Source organism: Homo sapiens, chromosome X (assembly GCF_000001405.40).
Source record: "Homo sapiens chromosome X, GRCh38.p14 Primary Assembly".
NCBI lineage: Eukaryota > Metazoa > Chordata > Mammalia > Primates > Hominidae > Homo > Homo sapiens.
The window spans coordinates 150,216,588-150,239,526 of record NC_000023.11 but is presented as its reverse complement, the minus strand read 5'-3'; the positions used below and the strand labels follow the sequence as shown (position 1 = coordinate 150,239,526).

The 22,939-nt window shown below is 46.9% G+C and overlaps 1 non-coding gene and 1 pseudogene across 1 annotated transcript, besides 6 other annotated features; one reads left to right on the top strand and one right to left on the bottom strand.

Moving 5' to 3' along the window:
- Positions 487-988: an enhancer, noted in NCBI's record as "H3K4me1 hESC enhancer chrX:149406763-149407264 (GRCh37/hg19 assembly coordinates)". NCBI's record gives its function as "activates a minimal SCP1, AML or CMV promoter by ChIP-STARR-seq in primed H9 embryonic stem cells {active_cell/tissue: H9 hESC(primed)}" and the evidence as "EXISTENCE:reporter gene assay evidence [ECO:0000049][PMID:30033119]".
- On the top strand, positions 6,702-8,688 carry XRCC6P2 (X-ray repair cross complementing 6 pseudogene 2; annotated as a pseudogene).
- A 2,755-nt stretch (positions 8,689-11,443) lies between these two features.
- On the bottom strand, positions 11,444-11,523 carry MIR2114 (microRNA 2114). Its single transcript, NR_031748.1, has one exon. It is a non-coding gene; the product is annotated as a microRNA 2114 (primary transcript).
- Positions 13,088-13,673: an enhancer, noted in NCBI's record as "NANOG-H3K4me1 hESC enhancer chrX:149394089-149394674 (GRCh37/hg19 assembly coordinates)". NCBI's record gives its function as "activates a minimal SCP1, AML or CMV promoter by ChIP-STARR-seq in naive H9 embryonic stem cells {active_cell/tissue: H9 hESC(naive)}" and the evidence as "EXISTENCE:reporter gene assay evidence [ECO:0000049][PMID:30033119]".
- Positions 13,674-14,261: an enhancer, noted in NCBI's record as "NANOG-H3K4me1 hESC enhancer chrX:149393501-149394088 (GRCh37/hg19 assembly coordinates)". NCBI's record gives its function as "activates a minimal SCP1, AML or CMV promoter by ChIP-STARR-seq in primed H9 embryonic stem cells {active_cell/tissue: H9 hESC(primed)}" and the evidence as "EXISTENCE:reporter gene assay evidence [ECO:0000049][PMID:30033119]".
- Positions 19,308-19,844: an enhancer, noted in NCBI's record as "NANOG-H3K4me1 hESC enhancer chrX:149387913-149388449 (GRCh37/hg19 assembly coordinates)". NCBI's record gives its function as "activates a minimal SCP1, AML or CMV promoter by ChIP-STARR-seq in primed H9 embryonic stem cells {active_cell/tissue: H9 hESC(primed)}" and the evidence as "EXISTENCE:reporter gene assay evidence [ECO:0000049][PMID:30033119]".
- Positions 21,473-21,972: an enhancer, noted in NCBI's record as "H3K4me1 hESC enhancer chrX:149385785-149386284 (GRCh37/hg19 assembly coordinates)". NCBI's record gives its function as "activates a minimal SCP1, AML or CMV promoter by ChIP-STARR-seq in naive H9 embryonic stem cells {active_cell/tissue: H9 hESC(naive)}" and the evidence as "EXISTENCE:reporter gene assay evidence [ECO:0000049][PMID:30033119]".
- Positions 21,973-22,474: an enhancer, noted in NCBI's record as "H3K4me1 hESC enhancer chrX:149385283-149385784 (GRCh37/hg19 assembly coordinates)". NCBI's record gives its function as "activates a minimal SCP1, AML or CMV promoter by ChIP-STARR-seq in naive H9 embryonic stem cells {active_cell/tissue: H9 hESC(naive)}" and the evidence as "EXISTENCE:reporter gene assay evidence [ECO:0000049][PMID:30033119]".

Sequence of the window (22,939 nt, the reverse complement as noted above, 5' to 3'; positions counted from 1 at the left end):
CTCCCAGTAACCTGATACTCATAAGCACAATACATTTTTTTTCCTATGCTTCCAGCCTTTCAATAGCTTCTTATGGCCCCCAGATAAAGCCCTAGTTCCCTCCTGTGGCCCATGGAGCCTGCCTGGTCTGGTCCCTGTCCATCTCTATAGCCCTGCCAGTCCCCTACCCCAGAAATCTGGATGTCATGTTTTGCCCCTCCTTCTCTCTCCCTCATGCCCCCATCCAACCTGTGGCCTTAGTCCTGGCCAGACTCTCAGCCAGCTCACTGTTGGTTGCTCCACCTCCCTCCCCCACGCTGGCCTAAGCCCTCTCTGCTCCTCCCTGGATAGCTGTGCCAATCTCCTCCCTGGACCCTCTGCCTCCAAACTGCATGTCTCCCACCATTGTCCACGTGGCAGCCAGAGGAATCCTTTGCAAACACAAATCTGACCACGTCGCTCCCCTTCTTCAAACATTTTGGTGGCCCTGAGCACAAAGGCCCAGCTCCCTAGCAAGGCCACCAGGCCCTGTATGACTGCAACCCCATTGTTCTCTCCTGCATTGCCTTCTGATTTACAATATTTGCTGCCCTTGATCCAGGAAACCTTGCAGGGCCCCACAACAGAGGCATGGGTTCTCCTGCAGGAGGCCGCACTGGTGCAGGAGGCAGCACTGGTGCAGCAGGTAGGCTGTGTAGCTGAGGGAGCCACTGACCTCACTGCTTTCTCAAGAGAGCAAGGAGAGTTCCCCAACTGGCTGGCTGTGCTGGCAGCAAGGTTTCCAGGGTTGAGGTGGGTGGGGAGATTCGTATTATGCTAATTAGATCTGGCTCCTTAGGACTGTCCCTCAGGCACTGATTTCTGGAAAGGGCTCATTGAGCTTGACTTTGACAGATGGCCTCTGGGATGAATGAGTGTGAGTGTGTACATGTCCATGAGTGTACATAGGTGTCCAGTATGCATGTGCGTCTGGGTGTGTAGGTGCGACTATGTGTATATAACATTGGGATATGTACACATACACTCCTACATGCCATGTATTTGTGTGTATGTATATGTGTATGTTGCATGTACACATGTGTATGTATGTATATGTGTATCTGTGAGTGTATCCACATGTACGTGTGCATATATTATGTGTGCATGTATATTCGTGTGGGTGTGTATATTTATGTGCATGTTGGTGTGTTTATGTGTGTGTTCATGTGTGAATATGGATGTATGTGTATACATGGGTATACGTGCCTGGGGGTGTGTTTGTGTGTATAAAATATATGTGCATGTTCATGTGTGTGTAGGTACATACATAGCTCTGTATATAGATATATGTGTATTTGTATGCAGAAAGTGTGGACATCAACGGATGTGTGAATTTGTATCTATAACTAGGTTCATCTGCAAAGGTGCATATATGTTTAGGTGTATGTATGTATATGTATATGAGAGTGTGTGTGTGTTTGGGGGATGCAGGTATACATGGTTGTGTGGATTTGTGTCTGTGTCTGGGTGTTGTCTGCATAGATGTGAATGTATGTGTATGTGTGTGTAGGTATATGTATATGTGCATGGATGTGCAGATGTGTGTTTACATCTGGATGTATCTGCGTGGATGTAGATGTGCAGATGAGATACATCTATGTGTCTGTGTATGTATGATGTGATTTGGATGTGTATGGGCATATGGATGTGTGTCTATATCAGGTATATCTTCATGGGTGTACATCTATGAGTGTGTCAGATGCAGATATGTACATGTGTGTAGATGTGTGTTCATAGCTGAGTGCATCTGCACAGGTGAGGATGTTTGTGTATGTAAATGGGGGGTGTGGATGTATATGGGTATTTGATTGTATGTTTGTGAGTGGGTGTAACTGCACAAGTGTGGCTGTAGGGAGGGCATTGGGGGAGTGTGTATAGGTATGGGTCTGTGGATGTGTGCCTGCATCCGGGTGTATCTACATGGCTACAAATGTGTATGTACGTATATTTGGGTGTGTGAAGGTGTAGATATTTCAGAGTGTGTGTGTGTATGTGCATGCACGTGTGTTTGGAGTAAAGTCGAGTATGTGGATGTGTGTGCATATCTGCTGTGTATGCATAGGAATACGTTTGCATATGTTATTGGTGCAGATGGATGTCTCTCCGTGTGCCTGTGTCTGGGTATATCTGCACAGGTGCAGACATGATGGAAGTACATCTATGTGTGTGTGGGTGGAGGAGGAGTGATGCATGCATGGTGTCTGCCAAGGCCCTCACATCCCACAGCCCTCTGGGTAATTCATTTAACGCCACATTCTTCTTCCTTGCTTTCCACATATGTAAAATGGGGACAACAACAGTTTCTATCTCACAAGTCAGCTGTGGGCACTCAATGAGATGAATGGAAGCTATTGTTACTGCTTTTTTCAATTACCCAGTAATTCCTGAGCTTCTGCTATGTGCCCAGTGGTGCTGGTGGTCTCACCGGGACTTCTCTCCCAGCCAGGCTACCCCAACATCAGATCTCCCCTGACAGACCTGAGTCAGTTGGCTCAAGGAGAGCCCCAACTTGAACTCAGAACAGTGAGGACTCCTTATAGTCAGCCTGGTGATGCTGCAGGCAAAAGCACAGAAGGGCTGCAGGTCTGGGCCCCCTTTTTGGGTACGCTGGCCCCTATCTCCCTTCAACCTGGTCTGCTCAGGGCCCCAAAGCTAGGTTCATCCCTTTAGGACAGTGACAGCTCCTCAGCCATCGACTTCTGTATATAAGCATGTCAGATGAGGCCGAGCAAAGAAACACTGAATTTAATAAAGCCAAGGAACCAGGAGAACTCTCCAACCCAAATCAATCCTCGATGTGTTTTTAATTAAGTTATAGCCCTTGTGATTAAAGAGTGTGAATTTCATTACTGTGACCATTTATCAAGGAGCATACCCGCTGAACCTTTATAACAGGCAGGGAAGAAGGCTTTTTATTTTCATCAACACCAAGTGCCCTGTTTGTATCTCAACTGACTCATCAAGGAAAACTGTCTCCCCTCCCAAGCTGCCACCCACTCAGTAATGACAAAGCCATGCCTGCCCCCACACTGCCCATCAATAGGCCAAGGCAGATGAGTATGAAACTTCTGATTTTGTTCAAGTGTCCTCCACAACCCTCATGCAGCCAGGCTACTGCACTGCCAAAGTGCAATTCGGGCCCCAGGAGTCAAGGTGCATAGAGCAAGGAGCCTAGGCATTCTCAGATGCTGGAGTTGGCTTGTCCTGAAAAATGATACATTTAAAACTTTGGCCTAACCACAACTCAACTAGCTACATAAATGAATGAGGGCTGGAGGAGGGAAGGAAGGAGAAGAGACACCATATTGGATGTTAACAATTGAAAGGCAACCTCAGGGACTCTGACTTTGCTAGTTTCTAGATGTGTGTGTGTGTGTGTGTGTGTGTGTACATGTGTTCTTTGCAATTTGGGAAATTGTTTTATTGAAGTGTTATATGCAAGGAAGTGCCCAGATCATGCACATACAAGTTGATGAATTCCACAATGTGAGCACACTGTAACCAGAACCCAGATCACCAAACAGAAAACTAGCACTCTCCAGAAACCCCCAGAGTGCTCCTCATAGTCACTATTGCCCCACGATAGTAACCACTATCCTGATTTCTACTGGTTTTGTTTATTTTTATATTTTACGTAGATGGAATCAGAATCAGACAGAATTCCCCCCCCCTTTGTTTTTTTGAGACGGAGTCTCGCTTTGTGGCCCAGGCTGGAATGCAGTGGAGTGATCTCGGCTCACTTGCAAGCTCTGCCTCTCGGGTTCACACCATTCTCCTGCCTCAGCCTCCCGAGTAGCTGGGACTACAGGCGCCCGCCACCATACCTGGCTAATTTTTTTGTATTTTCAGTAGAGACGGGGTTTCACTGTGTTAGCCAGGATGGTGTCGATCTCCTGACCTCGTGATCCACCCGCCTCGGCCTCCCAAAGTGCTGGGATTACAGGCGTGAGCCACCGCACCCAGCCAGAACTTCCCTTTTTATGTCCAGCTTCTTTTACTCAATATTATGTTTGTGAGATTTGTATGTGAATATGCCACAATTTATTTATCCATTCCACTTTTTTTTTTTTTTTTTTAGACAGGGTGTTGCTCTGTTACCCAGGTTGCAGTGCAGTGGTATGATCACGGCTCACTGCAGCTGTGACTTCCCAGGCTCAAGCAATCCTCCCATCTCAGCTTCCTGAGTAGCTGGGACATGTCAGGCACATGCCACTATGCCTGGATAATATTTTTATTATTATTTGTAGAGACAGGGTCTCGCCATGTTGCCCAGACTGGTCTCAAACTCCCGGGCTCAAGCAATCCTCCTGCCTCGGCCTCTCAAGATGCTGGGATTAAGGTGTGAACCACTGCACCTGGCTGTGTTCGAATCTTGATGGGCGTGTGAGCCACTGTGCCTGGCTCCATTCAAATCTTGATGGGCATTTGAGTTGCTTCTAGTTTGGACGGCATTGTATCGAGCAATGCTGTTACAAACATTTGTGTACATATCTATTGGTGAATATATATGTCTTTCTGTGTGTTATAGTGCTTAGTAGTGGAATTGTTCGGTCATGTATGTATGTTCAGCTATAGTAGATACAGCTATATTGCCACAGTGATTTCCAAAGCCGTTGTACAATTTACCCACAGTACATGAGCATTCTACTTAGTCTACATTCATATATGAGCATTCTGGTTGGTCCACATCCTCACCAACACATGGTATTGTCTATCTTTTTTCTTTTAGTCTTTCTGGCGGATATGTAGTCACCCTGGGTTGCGTTCCTAGGAAAGTGGACTATAAGATAAATATTAGTGTGCAGAAAGTTTACTGGGGAGTGCTCTTAGGAACAGTATCTTTGAGCAAGTGGAGAAAGCAGGATTAGGCAGGCGTAGAGGTTGGACCATGATGCAGTCATAACAAAGACCTTGGCCAGTGCCATGGAGAACTCTGAAGCTGGGATGACCCTTCAGAATTGCCTCAGATTTGGGCAGGGGACTGAGCCTTTATACCTCATATCAACCAGTCATTGGATGCAGACCTCCCCAGCAGGAGGAGGAACTAGGCTGTGAGCTGTCAGTAATCGACACTTACAGGAGTCAGCGAGATGAGTACTTCAGTCCTGATTTGTGGAGGAGGAATTTGGGAAGCACACTACAGAATTCACTACAGTAGTGGTATTGCATTGTGGTTTTAAAGTGCATTTCTCTGATGACTCCTGAGGTTAAGCATCTTTTGGCCATTTAGATAACTTCTTTTGAGAAATGTTCGTTTGGGCCCTTTGCCAAGCTTTCTATTGGGATGTCAGTCTTTTTTTTATTTGTAGGAATTCTTTACATGTTTGAATAGTTCTTTAAGATATATGTCTCTGGAGGCACTGCCAGAGACATACATCTCAAATAACTATCTGGAATACATAATATATATTGTATATAAAGAATTTTTACAAATCAATGTGAAAAAGACAGAAATCCCAATAGAAAATTTGGCAAGGAATCTGAATATATACTATAAATGTCTTCTTCCCCTTAAGGATGACCTTCTTCCACTCAATGTTTTTTGATAAATAAAAGTTGTTGATTTTAATGTAGTCTAATGCATTTTTAAAAATATTATTAATGTGTTTCGCATCTCATTTAAGGTCTTTGCCTACTTCAAGGTCATGAAGATATTCTCCTATGTTTTCTATAAAATATTTACTTTTTACCTTTTACACATCACCTAGAATTGGTTTGGGTGTATGATATGAACTAGGAGTCACGATATATTTTTTTCTATGTGATATTCAATTGACCCACAATAATTTATGAAAATGTAATTTTTTTTCATAAAGCAAGTGACCATATATATGTGGGTCCATTTCTGAACTCTATTCTGTTACATTTTCAAATTGAATGTCCTTGCACCAATATCATACTGTCTTATTTATTACAGCATTCTTAATATCTGTTAGTATTAAAAGTTTTTTTAAGCCTGCTTGAATTTTTATTGGGATTGTGTCAAATCTATGTATTAACTTGGAGAAAATTGAGATCTTTACAGTATTTAGTCTTCCAATACATGACTAATAGCACATCCCTCCTTTTATTTAGATTTTCTTTAATTTCTTTCAGTGTTTTCTTGTTTTCAGTGTAGAGATCTTGCACACCTTAGATTTATTTCTAGGTATTTGGTGTTTTCTGATGTTATTATAAATGAAATCTTTTATAAATTTATTTTGTCTTTTTGTTGCTAATATATAAAATGCAAATGATTTTTAAATATGTTTACTTTGTATCCCACTGCCTTGCTAAATTCACTTATTAATTCTAATAGTTTGTCTATGGATTTTATTGGATTTCTTATGGACCCAATCATGTAGTTTGTGAATAATAGATTTATGTATTCTATTCTGATCCTTATGCTTTTCTCCCATTTCCTTAGATTATTGAACTACATTGGACCTCTGATATAACATGAAACAGAAGTGGTAATAGTAGGAAACGCTTTCTCATTCTCAATCTATGACGAAGGATTTTAATACTTCACTGTTAATTACGATGGCTGCTGTAGGGTTTTTTTGTGTGTGACTTCTCCTTATCAGATCAGAAAGTTCCCTTCTTAGCCAAAGTAAGCAGTAGCCAACTTGTCAGGGTGGGAGTCATATTACAAAACCGAGGGCAGTGAAGAAGCTGAAGAAGAACAAGAAGAGAACCTTGAAGCAAGAGGAGACTATAAATATTCAGAAAGAGATAGTTTGATTTTTTTGGTTGATGCCTCCAAGGCTATGTTTGAATCTCCTAGTGAAGATGAATTGACACCTTTTGACATGAGCATCCAGTGTATTCAAAGTGTGTACATCAGTAAGATCATAAGCAGTGATCGAGATCTCTTGGCTGTGGTGTTCTACGGTACCGAGAAAGACAAAAATTCAGTGAATTTTAAAAATATTTATGTCTTATAGGAGCTGGATAATCCAGGTGCAAAATGAATTCTAGAGCTTGACCAGTTTAAGGGGCAGCAGGGACAAAAACGTTTCCAAGACCTGATGGGCCATGGATCTGACTACTCACTCAGTGAAGTGCTGTGGGTCTGTGCCAACCTCTTTAGTGATGTCCAATTCAAGATGAGTCATACGAAGATCACGCTCTTCACCAATGAAGACAACCCCCATGGCAATGAGAGTGCCAAAGCCAGCCAGGCCAGGACCAAAGCCGGTGATCTCCGAGATACAGGCATCTTCCTTGACTTGATGCATCTGAAGAAACCTGGAGGCTTTGACATATCCTTGTTCTACAGAGATATCATCAGCATAGCAGAGGATGAGGACCTCAGGGTTCACTTTGAGGAATCCAGCAAGCTAGAAGACCTGTTGCAGAAGGTTCACGCCAAAGAGACCAGGAAGCGAGCACTCAGCAGGTTAAAGCTGAAGCTCAACAAAGATATAGTGATCTCTGTGGGCATTTATAATCTGGTCCAGAAGGCTCTCAAGCCTCCTCCAATAAAGCTCTATAGGGAAATAAATGAACCAGTGAAAACCAAGACCCGGACCTTTAATACAAGTACAGACGATTTGCTTCTGCCTAGCGATACCAAGTGGTCTCAGATCTATGGGAGTCGTCAGATTATACTGGAGAAAGAGGAAACAGAAGAGCTAAAACGGTTTGATGATCCAGGTTTGATGCTCATGGGTTTCAAGCCATTGGTACTGCTGAAGAAACGCCATTACCTGAGGCCCTCCCTGTCTGTGTACCCAGAGGAGTCGCTGGTGATTGGGAGCTCAACCCTGTTCAGTGCTCTGCTCATCAAGTGTCTGGAGAAGGAGGTTGCAGCATTGTGCAGATACACACCCCGCAGGAACATCCCCCCTTATTTTGTGGCTTTGGTGACACAGGAAGAAGTGTTGGATGACCAGAAAATTCAGGTGACTCCTCCGGGCTTCCAGCTGGTCTTTTTACCCTTTGCTGATGATAAAAGGAAGATGCCCTTTACTGAAAAAGTCACGGCAACTCCAGAGCAGGTGGACAAGATGAAGGCTATCATTGAGAAGCTTCGCTTCACGTACAGAAGTGACAGCTTTGAGAACCCCGTGCTGCAGCAGCACTTCAGGAACCTGGAGGCCTTGGCCTTGGATTTGATGGAGCCAGAACAAGCAGTGGACCTGACATTGCCCAAGGTTGAAGCAATAAATAGAAGACTGGGCTCCCTGGTGGATGAGTTTAAGGAGCTTGTTCACCCACCAGATTACAATCTTGAAGGGAAAGTTACCAAGAGAAAACATGATAATGAAGGTTCTGGAAGCAAAAGGCCCAAGGTGGAGTATTCAGAAGAGGAGCTGAAGACCCACATTAGCAAGGGCACGCTGGGCAAGTTCACTGTGCCCATGTTGAAAGAGGCCTGCCGGGCTTACGGGCTGAAGAGTGGGCTGAAGAAGCAGGAGCTGCTGGAAGCCCTCACCAAGCACTTCCAGGATTGACCAGAGGCCATGCGTCCAGCTGCCCTTCCACAGTGAGGCCAGGCTGCCTGGCCTTGTCCTCAGCCAGTTAAAATGTGTTTCTCCTGAGCTAGGAAGAGTCTACCCGACATAAGTCGAGGGACTTTATGTTTTTGAGGCTTTCTGTTGCCATGGTGATGGTGTAGCCCTCCCACTTTGCTGTTCCTTACTTTACTACCTGAATAAAGAGCCCTAAGTTTGTACTAAAAAGAAAGAAAGAAAGAAAGAAAGAAAGAAAGAAAGAAAGAAAGAAAGAAAGTTCCCTTCTTAGTTTTCTAAGAGATTTTTGTTTGTTTTTTGGTGTTTTATTAAGGATGGCTGTTGAATGTTCTCAAATGCTTTTCTGCACCAATTCAAATGATTGTATGACTTCCTCCTTTTTCTTTGTTAATAAGATTAATCCAATTGGTTGATTTTCTAAATAGTTAACCACCCTCACATCTCACATGCCTACAATAAACCTTAATTAGTTGTTGAATTAGATTGTATTTCCCCAGAAGCTGATACTAGGTCAGGAATTGGAGTACAAATAATTTATTTGGGAGGTGAACCCTGAAAATACCAGAAGAACTATGAAGATGAAGTCCTCTCTGTCTGCACATACACACATGAATGGGACAATGAACATATATGAATATATATGACTGGACATACATATATATATATATATGCACATACATATTAATGGAAAGGGAAGGGAGATATGTATTTATATTCATGTATGTATATGTTATATGTATATATATAAATGTAACAATAAATATTGTATGTGTATATGTATTGGATTTGGTTTGCTAATATCTTAAGAGTTTGTGGAACTATGTTCATGAGAGGAATTGGTCTATAATGTTCATTTCTTGCAATATCCTTGTCAGGTTTTGGAATCAAGGTCATCTGGGACTCATAAAAAGGTTATGGGACACCCCAGCAGAGAAGATGGCTGTGGAAGGCCCTGGGGAATGATGGTGTGCTCAGAAGATCAGGAATGAGAAGAGCAGCACCTGTAGTGGAAGCTGCCAGCCTGGCTGTCTTGGGAAATAATGGCCAAGTTCTCCCTGTTCCCTGTAGATCCTGTCTCCACAGTGGCATGATGAGGGGTGGGAACATCAGGTTCAGAAAAGGTCTTTCTGCTCTCAGCTTCTCACAAGCTTAACTGAAGCCCCCCGCCGGGGTGATAGAAGATATGACTTCCCCTGAGTTTGGTAGAGGCAAGCATTTCCCTTTGAAAGCTTGTTGGTCATTGGTCATCTCCGTGGTCTCTTCTAAACCCCAAGAGTCATCCAGGGCCATGCACCCAGGGGCTTTTTCCACCTCTCCATTCAGAGCCTTTGATGCCCCTTACACACCTCTTATCAGCTGTTGAACAAACTGTGACCTGTCTCCAAGAATGCTGGCCAGCTGAGGCTGACAATGGGGCTTGGCCAACCAAAGTGATATGGATAGCAACTGGCAGAGGGCCAGGATGGCATAAATGTCAAAAGGTGCTTGCACTTGCTGCTGTGACTGCTAGCTGTGGTCTTAAGGTATCTTGCAGAGGAGGGGGTAAAGGATGGTCCCAGAGGCACCAAAAGGGGCAACAAGCACAGACATTTTTAACTGCCACTCAGAGAACAACAACTCTGTGCCAAGCCCTGTGCTGAGGGCTCTACACTCACAATCTTCTTCATATACACATGGGTCTCACTGAAACCATAACACAGCAGAGTGGGAAGGGATATTTTAACCAACTAAGGTGTTCACTTGCCAGTGCCTGGGATCCAAAGTCAGCATAGCCACTCTATACGCTCAATCATTGGGAGAGGGTAGGAGGAGCCAGTTGGCTTAGTGACACATTTAACTTGGAGTACATTCATCAAGACATGCCTGGAAAAGGCCACAGAGGAAAGGCTCCAGAGAGGAAGATAGCACTGGGTGACTGAACTGAGGGGACCACAGCTTCATAAGAAGGGCAACAAGAACCAGGCTCAGCACTTATTCTGGTGTTCACTCAACAGCATACAATGTCATCACATTCACTCTCTTACTGGAACCTCCTAGGGCGCCCAGGAAGTCAGCAGGGCAGGAGTCTTCTCCCCTCTGAACAAATGAGGAAAGTAAGGTTCAGAGAGGTGAGGTGACTTTACTTGCCAAAGACCTATTACTGGTATGGTAGGCTAAATAATGGCCCACAAAGATGTCCACATCCTAACCCCTGGAACCTGTGAATATGACTTTATATGGCAAAAGGGACTTTGTGTATGTAATTAAGTTAAGGATCTTGAAGTGAGAAGGTTGTCCTAGATTATCTGGGAAGGCTGTGAATGCAATCACAAGTGTCCTTATAAGAGGAAGGCAGAAGGAGATTTGGCACAGACAGAAGAAAAAGGGATGTGATGACAAGAGCTCCATGTGTATATCAAGGATTGTGAGTGTAAAGCCTTCAGCACAGGGCTTGGCGCAGAGTCATTCTCTGAGTAGCAGTTAAAGCAATCTGTGCTTGTCACCCCTTTGGTGCCTCTGGGACCTCCTCCGCAAGATACCTTAAGAAAGAGATTGAAACGATGTGCTTTGAAGATGGAGGAGGGGGTGATGAGCCAAGGAATACAGGTGGCCAACCTGAAAAAGGCAAAGTAATGGATTCTCCCCTCAGAGCCTCCAAAAGCATCCAGCCCTGTTGACACCTTGATTTTAGGCCAGTGAAACTGATTTGTTTTGGACCTCTGACCTCCAAAAGTATAATAGTAAATTTGCATTGTTTTAAGCCACTATGTTGGTGGTAATTTGTTATAACAGCAATGAGAAACTGATCCATCTGGTGAGTGGCAGAACTGGGACAGAAGCCAGTCATCTCATCACCCAGGCAAAGGCAGACGCCATCATCTGCTTCTTGGCAAAGTTTCCCAGGGCCTGGATAGATGTGGGAGTGGAGGATGGGAGGACTTCAATAGGAGGCAATGATGGTTCGGAAGCAGGAAGCTAGCTGCTGGAAGCCACCAGCTTGAAGTCCCTTGCTTGAGGCTCGTCATGTGATTATCCGACCGCTTCAAGGAAGGGACTAGGAGCATGGAGGCAGAGGCCTGTCTTTGGCCCCAGAAGCTGGGACGTTTGATCCATTGCTGACTGGGTGAGGGTCCTGCTGATTGAGATGGAGAGTCCTTAGAGGCAAGACTGGACCGATGACTTCTTGAGGTGCTTTTCAGCTCTCAGGTTCTGTCAGTCCCTCTTCATGGAATCCTAGGTGCCAAAAGCAGACCCAGGAAGCCTGTGGCCCTGATAACCCAAGGCAACCTCTGTCTCTCTAAATGTTCCTGTGGAACCGAGTAAGCATAATCCCAGAGGGCAGTTTGGGACAGCTCACACCCTTCCAGTGGCGGTGAAAATTGGTCATTCCCCTTGGAGAGAGGAGGCGCTCTTGGCAATTTTCCAGAGCTCTACCCTCCTTCCTTTGTGCCCAAACAGCTGTGGGCAGATCAGGCTGGGGGTAGAAAGGAATGAATTCTATTTTCTTCCCTCCCTGAGGTACTCCATGTGGTCACAGAAGGCTGCACAGGAAATATAACGGTTGACAGACGTGCGGTGTTTTGTGATGTGAAAATTAAAATCACCAGGAAATGTTCACGTTCTCTCTCTCCTTCTCTCCCCCCCTCCCCTATCTTCCTTCCTCTGAGCCTTTCTCTCTCTCTGTTCTCACTCTTCCTCTGTTGCCTTTTTCCCCCCAGTTCATTTTAAGTCCCTCAAACTTCCTACCTCCAAGAACAACTCTCTAGTTGAGGCTTGGACTTTACAACTTTCACAAATCACTTTGAATCCTTAAGGTGCCTACAGACCTCTCAGTTTGAGCAATTATGGGAGGGAGAACAAAGAATCAGGGTGGGCGAGCTTCCAGCCACCACTGCCATAAAGTTAAGTGACAACTGTTCACTCCCAAGCCTCTGAGTCTGGACAGGTTTGAAAAATTTGTTTTAATCTCAAAAATCTATTCCCAATGAGCAATTAGAAGCCATTTCCTTGAGCTCTTACTATATCCCAAACTTCGGTTTAGTTAAATTTTGTGAGGTTCAAATTTTGCACCTTGAGACTCTACTTTTCTCTAAATTTCACAATTTAGGGATAAGGGTCTGTTTGTATTCAGCACTGATTGGAATGAAAACATCATTGAGCTTGCCAAGCTGAGACCTGGAATACCACAGCATGAGGTTCATATGTTCTGAATGAGCAGGTTTCAGAAAGCTGAGCACTTAGATGGTGAGGCGTGTGACTTGTAAGATGTGCTTTCTGTAGGGACACAGGCCATCCCCACCGCTGCACCTTCAGCATCTGTAAATGGTACAAGGGCTAAAGTACTTGCACGCAGGCATTTGGATTTTCCCCTGTGTATTATTATTGGCGTTATCTAAGGCAATGTCCCTATCTTACTTCATAGGTCAAGAGTATCCCCAGGGCCACCCAGCAATGCCTAGGAATGAACTCCTAGAATGAAAAACACTTTGGGAGATTCTTCTATCAACCTTCCCTTGTTCTATAAATGTGGACACTCAGGCCTGAAAGAGGGGACAGGCCCTGCAACTTGAGATGGCTCAGCAGGACTGGGACTCAGGTCTAGCTCGTACTCTCCACCCCAGGCCTAGATACTTGTCCACTGTGACTACCTCCGGGAGCCAGGTGCCAGCCTGGGAGGAGCCATATCTGTTTTGGAGCAATTGCCCCGGGCATAGCAAAGAAGGGGGTTGAGTATGAGATAGTATAAGGATGGCATGTATCCTTTGGTAAACAACAAATCTTGGGGCTGGAAGGCTGGTCAAAAGTCAGTCTGGAGACTGGTTTTCCACAACAGAACGTGCTGCGAAAGAGTTGTGGGCAAAACTCGGTTTTGAAAATTGAATCTTTAACCCCCCTGGGTGCCATCTATTGCAATCTTATGAGAACTACTTTTGTGAAGCAAAGGGTCTTCTTGTAATGCAAATTTCCACTCCCTAATTGGCCCGGTGTGTAACTTCTATGCCTTCAATTGCTGAAGGGGGCCAAGCCCCTTTGACACCGGTTTTTGTTTTGGTTTAGCACAAAGCAGGTAGGAGGTAGGGTCAACTCGCACCTCCCTAATGCTGCCGCTGCTGCCTCCGGGCGGGAGAAGACCCACCTGGGCTCCAGGGCAGAGCTGGGCCAGCTTATCACCTCCCCTTCATCGCCCTGTGGAGGTCTGCTGCAGAGTAGTTAATCGGGAAGCTGGGAGTGCAGGTGGCACTCTGTGCCACCTGGAGCCATCTCCGAGAGAGTGCCCGCATCCTCCAAGGCTGGAGAGGAATACCAATTGCACGGTTACTGGGCCCCCTCAGGAGCCCACAAGAGGAAATTAAAAGGCATACACACGCCTGGAATAAAGGACCCTCTTCTTGCAGCTAATCACTGAAATTGGTCACTGGGTTGTCCCCTCCCCCCTTTGGTGAAAGACATGGTCTTTCTCTTGTTCTGTTCCATCACTGCGTTCTTAGAAAAGTGTGAGGAGGGGGGCTAAGCTTTGCACGGGCATCCTCCCATCCCCGCCCTCAAGGTCTGCCTTTCTCTCAGAGTCCTGGCTTTTCCCAGCATGGGGGGCATTTGTTTGTCCTGTCTGATGCAGGAGAAAGGTCAATCCCAGCCCCTAGGCTATGCAGGTGGGAAGAGTGGCCTGGCATCTCTTAAGACTGTCTCCTGCATGGCCCTTTGCAGGTTGTAAAATGCTTGCACTCCCCTCCCTGTATGGGCTTCACAACCTCATCAGGGCTCACAGCTGCTATTTTACCTTGAGGGCATGGTCTAAGGTGACAGACATGGTCCTCAGGATTTGAATCCAGGACTTTAGCTCCAAGGCTAGGATAAGCTCTTCCCACCCTCTGTGCTTTAGGGCCCACTGTGGCCCCAGTCCACTCGGCAATGGGAGAGCCTGTTTGCATGCCCTTAGCAAAGCCTGTGGAGCCCTGAGGGCAGGGGCAGGAAGATGGCCTTGGGGCTGCCAGGGAGATGCCTAGGAGGTTTTGGTTATTAATTAATTAATAACACTGTGTCCCAGCAGTCAGGCTGGGCTGGACCTATGGGAGATGCCCTCTAGATACCTGCTGAAAGCAAGCAGGAAAGAGCATGAGACTTACTGTCTCCTGCGTGGGAACAGGGGGCGGTGCTTAGTTTCCCCTGCTAGGCCAGTAAAAGGCTTGGGTCACCTGATGGCCAAGGCCCTGTGCCACAAGTTCTGGAGACCTGATACAAGCTGTGGTCTTGCTTCCCACTGTGGCCATAGGCACGTAGCTCCATGAGTGTTCTGAAGAGGCTCAGCTCAGGGAAAATGCAGGTGGCTGGGCCTGAGAATCTGGGGTTGACAAGAAAACCTAATATTCATACTGTAGTATATTGAATGGTGGCCCCACAAAGATATGTCTACCTGGCACCTGTGAATATGACCTTATTTGGCAAAAGGTCTTTGCAGATGTAATTAAGGATCTTGAGATACCATCCCAGATTATCCAAATAGGCACTAAATCCAATGACGTGTCATTATAAGAGAGTGGCAGGAGATTCAAGATACACAGGGAAGTAGGTAAGGGTGAAGATGGAGCCAGAGGTTGGAGTGATACGGCCACAAGCCAAAGGAACACCTGGATCCACCAGAAGCTGGAAGAAGCAAGGAAGGATTATCCCCTAGAGCCTTCGCAGGGAGCTTGGAACTGCTGACACCTTGATTTCTGATTTCTGGCCTCCAGAACTGTTGGAGAATAAATGAATAAATACATTTCTGCATCAGTGAATAAGTTGTCACTGTTTTAAGCCACGAAGTTTATGGTAATTTGTTACAGTAGGCACAGAAACCAATACAAAATAGCAACAATACCAAGGAGAGGAGGGGAAACAGGAAGGAGGAAGAGGAAGATGAAGGAAGAAGGATAAAGTCTTATTGACCATCCACCAAGTGCCATGCAGGCACTGCCCTACCTGCCTTTAGAGTGTGATCCCATTTGATGGCTATGACAACCTTGTGAAGCAGGTACTTCCCTCACTCCTGTTGTACGATGGAGCTGGCTCAGACATTCAGCAGTGAAAGCCTGGTTGCTCAGCTAGGAGAGGTGGAACCAACTGAGAGAGAAGCCCCAGTGGTGGGACTCCAGGCCTGCCTTGCTGAGCGGGCTGCTAAGGGGGACCCAGCTAGAGCCTGGACAAACAACAGGATTTAGGGAGATGCACAAGGAGCACTCAGTCTCTGGGGCTTTAGGAGAGAGAGGTCACATTTCTGACCCAGAGCTGGCCTTTCAGGAATGGGACATGGCTAGCCTAACCCAGCTCCCCTGAGCCCTCATAATAGAGCTGGCCATGGAAAACGGAGCTTCAGGCACACACAATGATCCCTGCTCAAGGCGGATCCAGACCTGGAGCTCCCCTGCCGACTGTTGTTTCTTTCCTGGGTACAGGTCTCCGTAACCTGCCAGAAGCCTGGGTATACCTCTGCCTCCCATGTTCCTTCTCTTTTCTCTCCACAGCCAATCTGGTCAATTCCCTTCCTGAGCATTTCTCTCACGCGGTGCACTCCATGGATGTGGTGGTCCCTTTCCTTTGTCTCCCATTTGCACACACAAGCATTTCTCCTGCCAGAACAGAGAAGCATCACATTTTGCTCTTGGTTATAACATGATCAGAGTTGGGAACTGGGGCTATGGGGGCAGGGAGGGGGCAGGAGGAAGACTGTTGCCTGTGACTGACAGACAAACTGGCTGTGCTAGCAGAGTGACTGGCCTCACCGCAGGCCTTTGTGGGTCGTGAGCTGGGCTGCAAGGAGAGGGTTTTCAGAGCCGCATGCTTTCCTCACCTGTTAATGCTGTGATGCACGTCACTGTCAACGGGTACCTTCAATGCCATGTTGCTGATTCTCTCTTTCTTCCTGAAAAACTATTAAATTATGTGCAGTTTATCAATCACACCATATTAAACTCGAGGGCACACAAACTTGACTGTGGCTGTATTTGCTGTTGAAGGCAGGTCCTGTGGTACTTAAGGCTGTTCTATGCATTTGGAGCAGCTGATTATCTTTTGCAATGGCCAAATACACCCATAGCTATTATTTTTTCCCAAAAATCTCTCTTATTGAAATCCTTGCAGGGAAAATGACTTTTTATTGCAAGTAAGAATTCTCTAGTCCCTAACCCTTCACTGTGCTCTTGGAATATAATGCTTGACAGTGGGAGTTGTTGAGGAGCCCAGTAGTCACATCAGAGCACAGGGCATGGCACAACCCTGTACCCTCTGTCCCATTCTAGTCTGCTTATTCACATGGCTAGCACCTCACCAGAAGGGGAGCCCCTTGAGGGCAGGGATTTTGTCCTTTGCACTGTTACACTGCTGCTGCTGCTGATGTCTAGCACACCGTAGGTGTGGTACCTGGTAGGTGCTCCATAAAGATCTTTTTTCTTTTCTTTTCTCTTTTCTTTTCCTTTCTTTCTTTTTCTTTTTCTTTCTTTCTTTCTTTTTCTTTTTTTCTTTCTTTCTTTTTCTTTCTTTCTTCTTTCCTTCTCTCTCTCTTTCTTCTTTCCCTTCTTTTTCTCTCTCTCTCTCTCTCTCTCTCTCTTCCTTCCTTCCTTCTCCTTTTTCTGAATAAGTGAATGAATGTGTCCATCGGGAAATGAGGCTCAAAGCAGGTCACAACTAGCAAAAAGCAGAGGGCTGGGATGTGAACCCAGGGCTGATGTTACAGTTCATGCTCTGCCCACCCCTCCCCCCCTCCATAGTGGCTGCAGGATGGAGCCCTTGAGCTGGTACTCCAATGGAGGCAGGTGTGAAGAGCCTAGGAAGTCAAAAAGAAACTGTGGACAAAGAGAGCAAGTCCCTGAGTGAGCAGAGTGAATGGCTGCCTGGGGGCCATGCATCCTGGGGTGGTGGGGGCAAGTCAGGGAGGTTCTGGGGACAGACTCCAGAGGTGTTGCTTAGTTGGGGTTGGGTGCGGCCTCTAGCTGTGGGCATGAGGTCCAGACAGAAAGGACCAGCCTTACTTTCCCAACAGCCAGAGGAGCCAAAAGGAAGAGGTCTACCCTTGGCAAAAAGCAAGGAAGAAGTGGGAAGGGGACTTCAGGGACATCTGCAAAGGCTGTGGCAATCTGAACAAGATCTGCACTCATGTTACATGTCAACAGTCTGAACCCCAAGTGTCTATGCCAAGGGCAACTTCAGGCCTTCAAAGTGCTGCAGGAGGCAAAGGGGTGCCCTAGGGATTCTAAACTGTAGTAGAGGGAAGTGGGAGAGGCCAGGGCAGGAGTCAGGATCTCTGAATGCCATCTGTCATACTGGGTGACTCTGAATCCCTTCTCTCTCAGCTCGTTTTTGTACCTTTTCTCCCCTCTTGGACATAGTTAATTTTCTTCTCCACTAAGCAATGGGGGCAACAAGAGATGCACAAATCGCCTCCACTTCCATTCAACAAAAATCCATTGTATACCCTATCGTGTACAAGGTGTCAGAGATCCCAGGGAAAGTAAAACCCCATCCCCTCAAGGGAGAAAGGAAGTCCTAATTAGGTGAGTTTGCCGCAGGGTTGGCCGTGATCTGGATATGAATCCTCTGGAAAGAACCATGCAGAGGGAGGGAGTCATTCTCAGCACGGCCAGACTGGGAAGGCTTCTCAGAGGTAGTAGGGTTTGAGCTGAGCCTGGAAGAGTGAAAAGGAGGCTGGTAGGTGTGGAAGAGTATTCTATGCGAGGAAGAAAGAATAGAGGCATAGGGGCAGGAGAAGTCAGGGTATGCTGGAGGAGCAAAGCGGCCAGGTTAGGATAGAGATGTGTGTGAGGAGGATGCGGTGCAGAGAGAGGAGGGCTGCAGAGGAGGGCTGGGGTCTGACTGGGGAGTGTTGAGTGCCAGATGGAGCAGCTCAGGCAGCATCTCAGAGGCAGCAGAGAGCCTTTAAAGGCTTATGAGCAAGGGTGTGTGAACTTATTTGAAAAAAGTGTCTTTACGGATGCAATTAAGGTAAGAATCTTAAGATGAGATGATCCCGAATGATCTCAGTGGGCCCTAAATGCAATGACAAGTGTCCTTAGAAGAGAAGACACAGACAGAAGAGGCACACAGGGGAGAGGGTCATGTGAAGATGGAGGCAGAGACTGGAGCGAATGATGCAGTGACAAGCCAAGCAGCACCCAGAGCCACCAGAAGCTGGAGGGAGAAGGAAGTTTTCTCCCCTGAGCTTTAAGGAGCCTGGTCCTGCCGACACCATGAGTTTAGCCCAGTGATGGTGATTTTCTTACTGCCAGGAGTGCCTGGATCCGTGTGTATACCAAGCACTGTCTGTAGATGGATGTAACTTTCATAGCTCTATGTCTCTGGGAGCTAGTATGATCAATGAAAGTTGCATCGAAGACCGATGCTAAACTCAAATCAGCTGTTTATCCTTGTGTGTTCCTCAGTCAACAGATGATAAAAATATTGCTAGCTGCTGTTATGTGGGGTCTGCACAATGTCTTGATGTTGGAATGGAGGTGAGAATGGCCAAAAAGGAAATGAGGCCCAGCCTTGTGAGTCTTCCTTTCCATCACAGCCTGTTTCTAAGCCAAAGTGGAGAAGCACCAGGACAAGGTCTTTGAGTCCAATGCAGCTTCTAATTACTTGGGACCCTGAGCGGCACTACCCCTAAGGCAGCTCCCTGGGCAGGTGGTGGTGGTAGTGGTGGCCACAGGGAGTTGCCAGTAGCCCTCCTGCAGACACATCAGCAGAGTCCTGGGAGGGACCCAGCCTGCTGGGAAACGTCCAAGGAGTCTCGTATCCTCATCTTTAGTCTCCTGGTGACAAGGCAAGTTTATAATCTGTCTGCCCAGAGTCTAGTCAAATAAACCTGTTCCTAGGAGCTTTCCTCACTCCGCCAGTGGTAATGTTTTGCAAATTGCTCATCCATTCTTCCTTGCAGGTACTGGTTCCAGGAGGGAATCTGAAGACAGGCTTTGGAGAGTGGCTGGTGCCCTTTACAGGCCCTCACCCCCATCCCCGCACTCCCCGCCCCCAGAAGTAACGTGCTTGCTAAAGAGAAATGGCTTTGACAACTTGCCTTAAATAATCTGGCAAGTGAATCTCCTTTCTTTATTCATTAGGGATATTTGCACCTGAATCGCCTCTTTGTTTCTTGGGATTTCAGTTCTGAGCCTAAGCAGGCAAGGCTGGGGAATGACAGGGATAGGGGCTCTGGAGGCAGGGGAGGGCGGCCAGGGTTGCCAACTGAGATGTGTCGGCAAGCTCTAGAGATGCTCCTGAGCCAGGAGATGGCTGAGCTGGTGTGCACTGGTGTGTCCCAGCCTTCCTCTGCCTCCGCAGACCTCTCGACCTCAGAGGTGACTCAAGGCTGAGGTCAGGGGAATTTTCCTCAGACCACAGAGGGAGAGGCCAAGGATCTGTAGTCAGACAGCTCTAAGATCACTTCCTGGCTTCTGCATGGACTAGCTGAGTGGCTGCAGACAAGCATTGCCCTTGCTCACTCGCTCGCCAGTCTGCCAAGAGGGAGATGCTAAGAGGAAAGGCAGGCTCACAACACGGCTGGCAGGAGGTGATGGGATTAAGGCTGCAGAAAGCTTTGCCAATGCACAAGTGAGGCTTGGAGAAGGCGGGCGCTATCAGGGCACTGCCTGGCCACGGGGCCCGAAGGGGCCCCTCTCAGGCAAGTACTCTGTGAAACGGAGGCCAAAGGAAGAAGAGTGCCCCTCAGCGCTGTGCTAACTGAACTTCTTTCCAGGAATCTTTGTTAACATTTGCCAATGGGTAGTAAAGCTCCTTTAACATCCCCCTGATCGTTGGGATTTCATTCGTTTTCTTGCTTCACAACCTTCTTGTCCTGAACATATATTTGCTGATGTATCTGGCAAGACAAAAAAACAAACAAAAAAAAAAAAAAAAAAAAAGGAAAAAACCTGCTATACCAATTAGCTACATTTGCATCATTATTTTATATGAGCATGAAAGGTTTAAACAGAATGTATCCAGATTACACGGATTAATTAGATATTTTAAGTTTTAAAAACTGAAAAACAAAAAAAAGCAAGAAAATAAGTTTGTATAATACAAAACTCATCAGGCTTTGATTTTCTACCGCGAAGCTATTAAAAAAACAATTAAGACGTGAACAGCAAACTGATCCTATGAATAAATCAGAGCTATCAAAGGCACATGTTTGCTTTTGGATTATGATGAATGTAAATTTAGACATGAGCTATGGGCTTGAGCTGTTAATTGCACTAAACCTGAGCTCCAATCAGGTGCCAGGGAAGGCTGGGCTGGGGCTGTGCAGAGCAGGCCAGGGGTGCGTTGGCCTTCACGTCTGCCAGGCTGGTGCCCTTTCATTTCCCTCTCACCTACACTGAGGATTAGACTTAGTAGATGGAGGCTTGATGCCATAAATTCATAGGAAAGGAGACCACTAGAGTCTTCAGACCCCACAGGAAAACCCCATCAGGAACTGAAATGCACATTGCTTGGTCCCTTTTGCAAGGTTAAGTGATCTCATGGGACAGGAGACAGATTTGGGTTGCTTTATTTCCAGTTAAATTCTGAGATGCTTGCACTTCGGTTTTGCTCCAGGAAGAACTCAGTTATGTCTACACATATGCTTAAACTGTCTCCCATTAATAAGCTGCAAAGACAGGAGCCAGTGCTCCTAAAACCACAGCAAATTGTCAAAATGCTTGTTGATAAGTGTTCCAAAACATCACCATTACAGCAGACTAAATACAAGGGCATCTGAGATGCAAACAGCTTGTAGTGGAAACATATTAATATTAGGAAATTTCTCAGTTCGCTCCCAAAAACACTTGCCAGGTTCATACACATGCCAGGCCCCAAGTCCCTCCCTGAGCATGGGCACCACAGCCTGACCCCTTGGTGACTTCAGTCACACCTGCCAGCCCTCTGGGGAGGCAGTGGCAGGATCAGAGTGGATTTGAGCTGGAGTGGCTCTCCCTCAAAGAGAGGCTCATCTGATCACCACCCCCCATAACTCCACAGGGGCCTCTAACCAACCCGACCTTGGCATGAGCAGCTGCAAAGAAAAAGCTGTGACAGGGTGGTCTGTACCTGCTCAGAAGTGGGACACCACCCTGAGAAGAGGCAGGGTGCATCATTCCCCATGGATACTTCCTGGTGGTGGGAAAACAGGAGAGGGAGCTTCTGCACCCCTCCCACCCTCCCCCCACCCCCTCCTTTCCCTTCAACTTTATCTTCTACATAGGGGAAGGAACCTTGGCCCTGGTTCTTATTGCAGCTTGGCCACTCCCCGCATGGCTCCCAGCACTTCCCACAGTTGTGGAGGGTCGGGGGAGGAGTCTCCATTTTCCCAGGTGTGAAACCCTATCACGATTTGCCAGCCACAGTTTCCATGAGCATTTTCTGCACTTTGCTTATATTGATCCTCACATAAACAGCACCAATGGCCACGTGAGTAGCTGAGTGAGACCATGTAAGCTGAGGGGGTGGTGTGGCGTGAGCATGGTGATGCCCACCATTCCTGGCAGCCACTCTTGGGCATCTCAGACCAACGGGTGGGGGCCACACCCCAGCAGGCTCCCGCCCTTGGCAGTCCTGACCAGATCTGTGACTATTGATTATTTCTCACTTTCCAGGCTGGAAATCAACCAACTCTTTTTATCCAGAGATTCACGACTGTCTCTGAAGGGTTAAAATATAAATAGCAGTTTCTAACCATGCTAATAAATAGATGAAGCTAAGCAAACATTTTATCAGCTGTCCTCACAGCCCCTCAGTGTACCCGTCTTCCTGCCCGCCTCACTAATGTGCCCACCACTTTCTCTGGGCACGCTCACATTCTGCAAAGGCTGGGAGACAGGCTGGCCAAGTGGGTCTAAAAATAAAATGAACAAGAGGCAAAAAACAAGCTACCATCACCTAAGCAAAGGATGATGTCTGCCCAGGGACAAACTCTCAGGAGCCCACAGTGGGTTGTCTGCAAGGGGCTGTGGTCTCCTGGGCTCTCTGAGGTGTGCATAGACTGCTGTTGTCCTGGGGAAGGACAAGCTGGGTTAGTACCCTTTATCGTCCCCCTTGCTGGGGAGCACTCTGTCACTGGAGCTGGGACTGGAGGTGGGGAAACAGGGATGTCCCAAAAGGCTGGGCCTGCCCCGTCTCATCCTCTCCACGAGTGTGGTCTCCCGTGTCCACACAGCAGACATTGAAGACATCCCTTAGAAGACATGGAAGGCACCCCTCTCCGCCTCTCCTCACCCCACCCCCATGAACACTCCTCCCTATCTCCCCAGCTCCTCTCCCACCCGACCCAAACTGCCCTATCCCTCTGCCATAATTTAGTCAACAATGCCAAGGTTTCACATGTGGTTCAGTGGGGACCAGTGTTCCTCTGGGGAGGAAACCCAGCCCCCAGGTCTACTGTGTGTGGGCAGGAGCTGGGAGCCCAAGGTACCTCTTCCCTCCCTCACAGAGCTGGAGGCCAACACGTCAGCTTTATTTGCCCTGAAAGAACAGAGAAC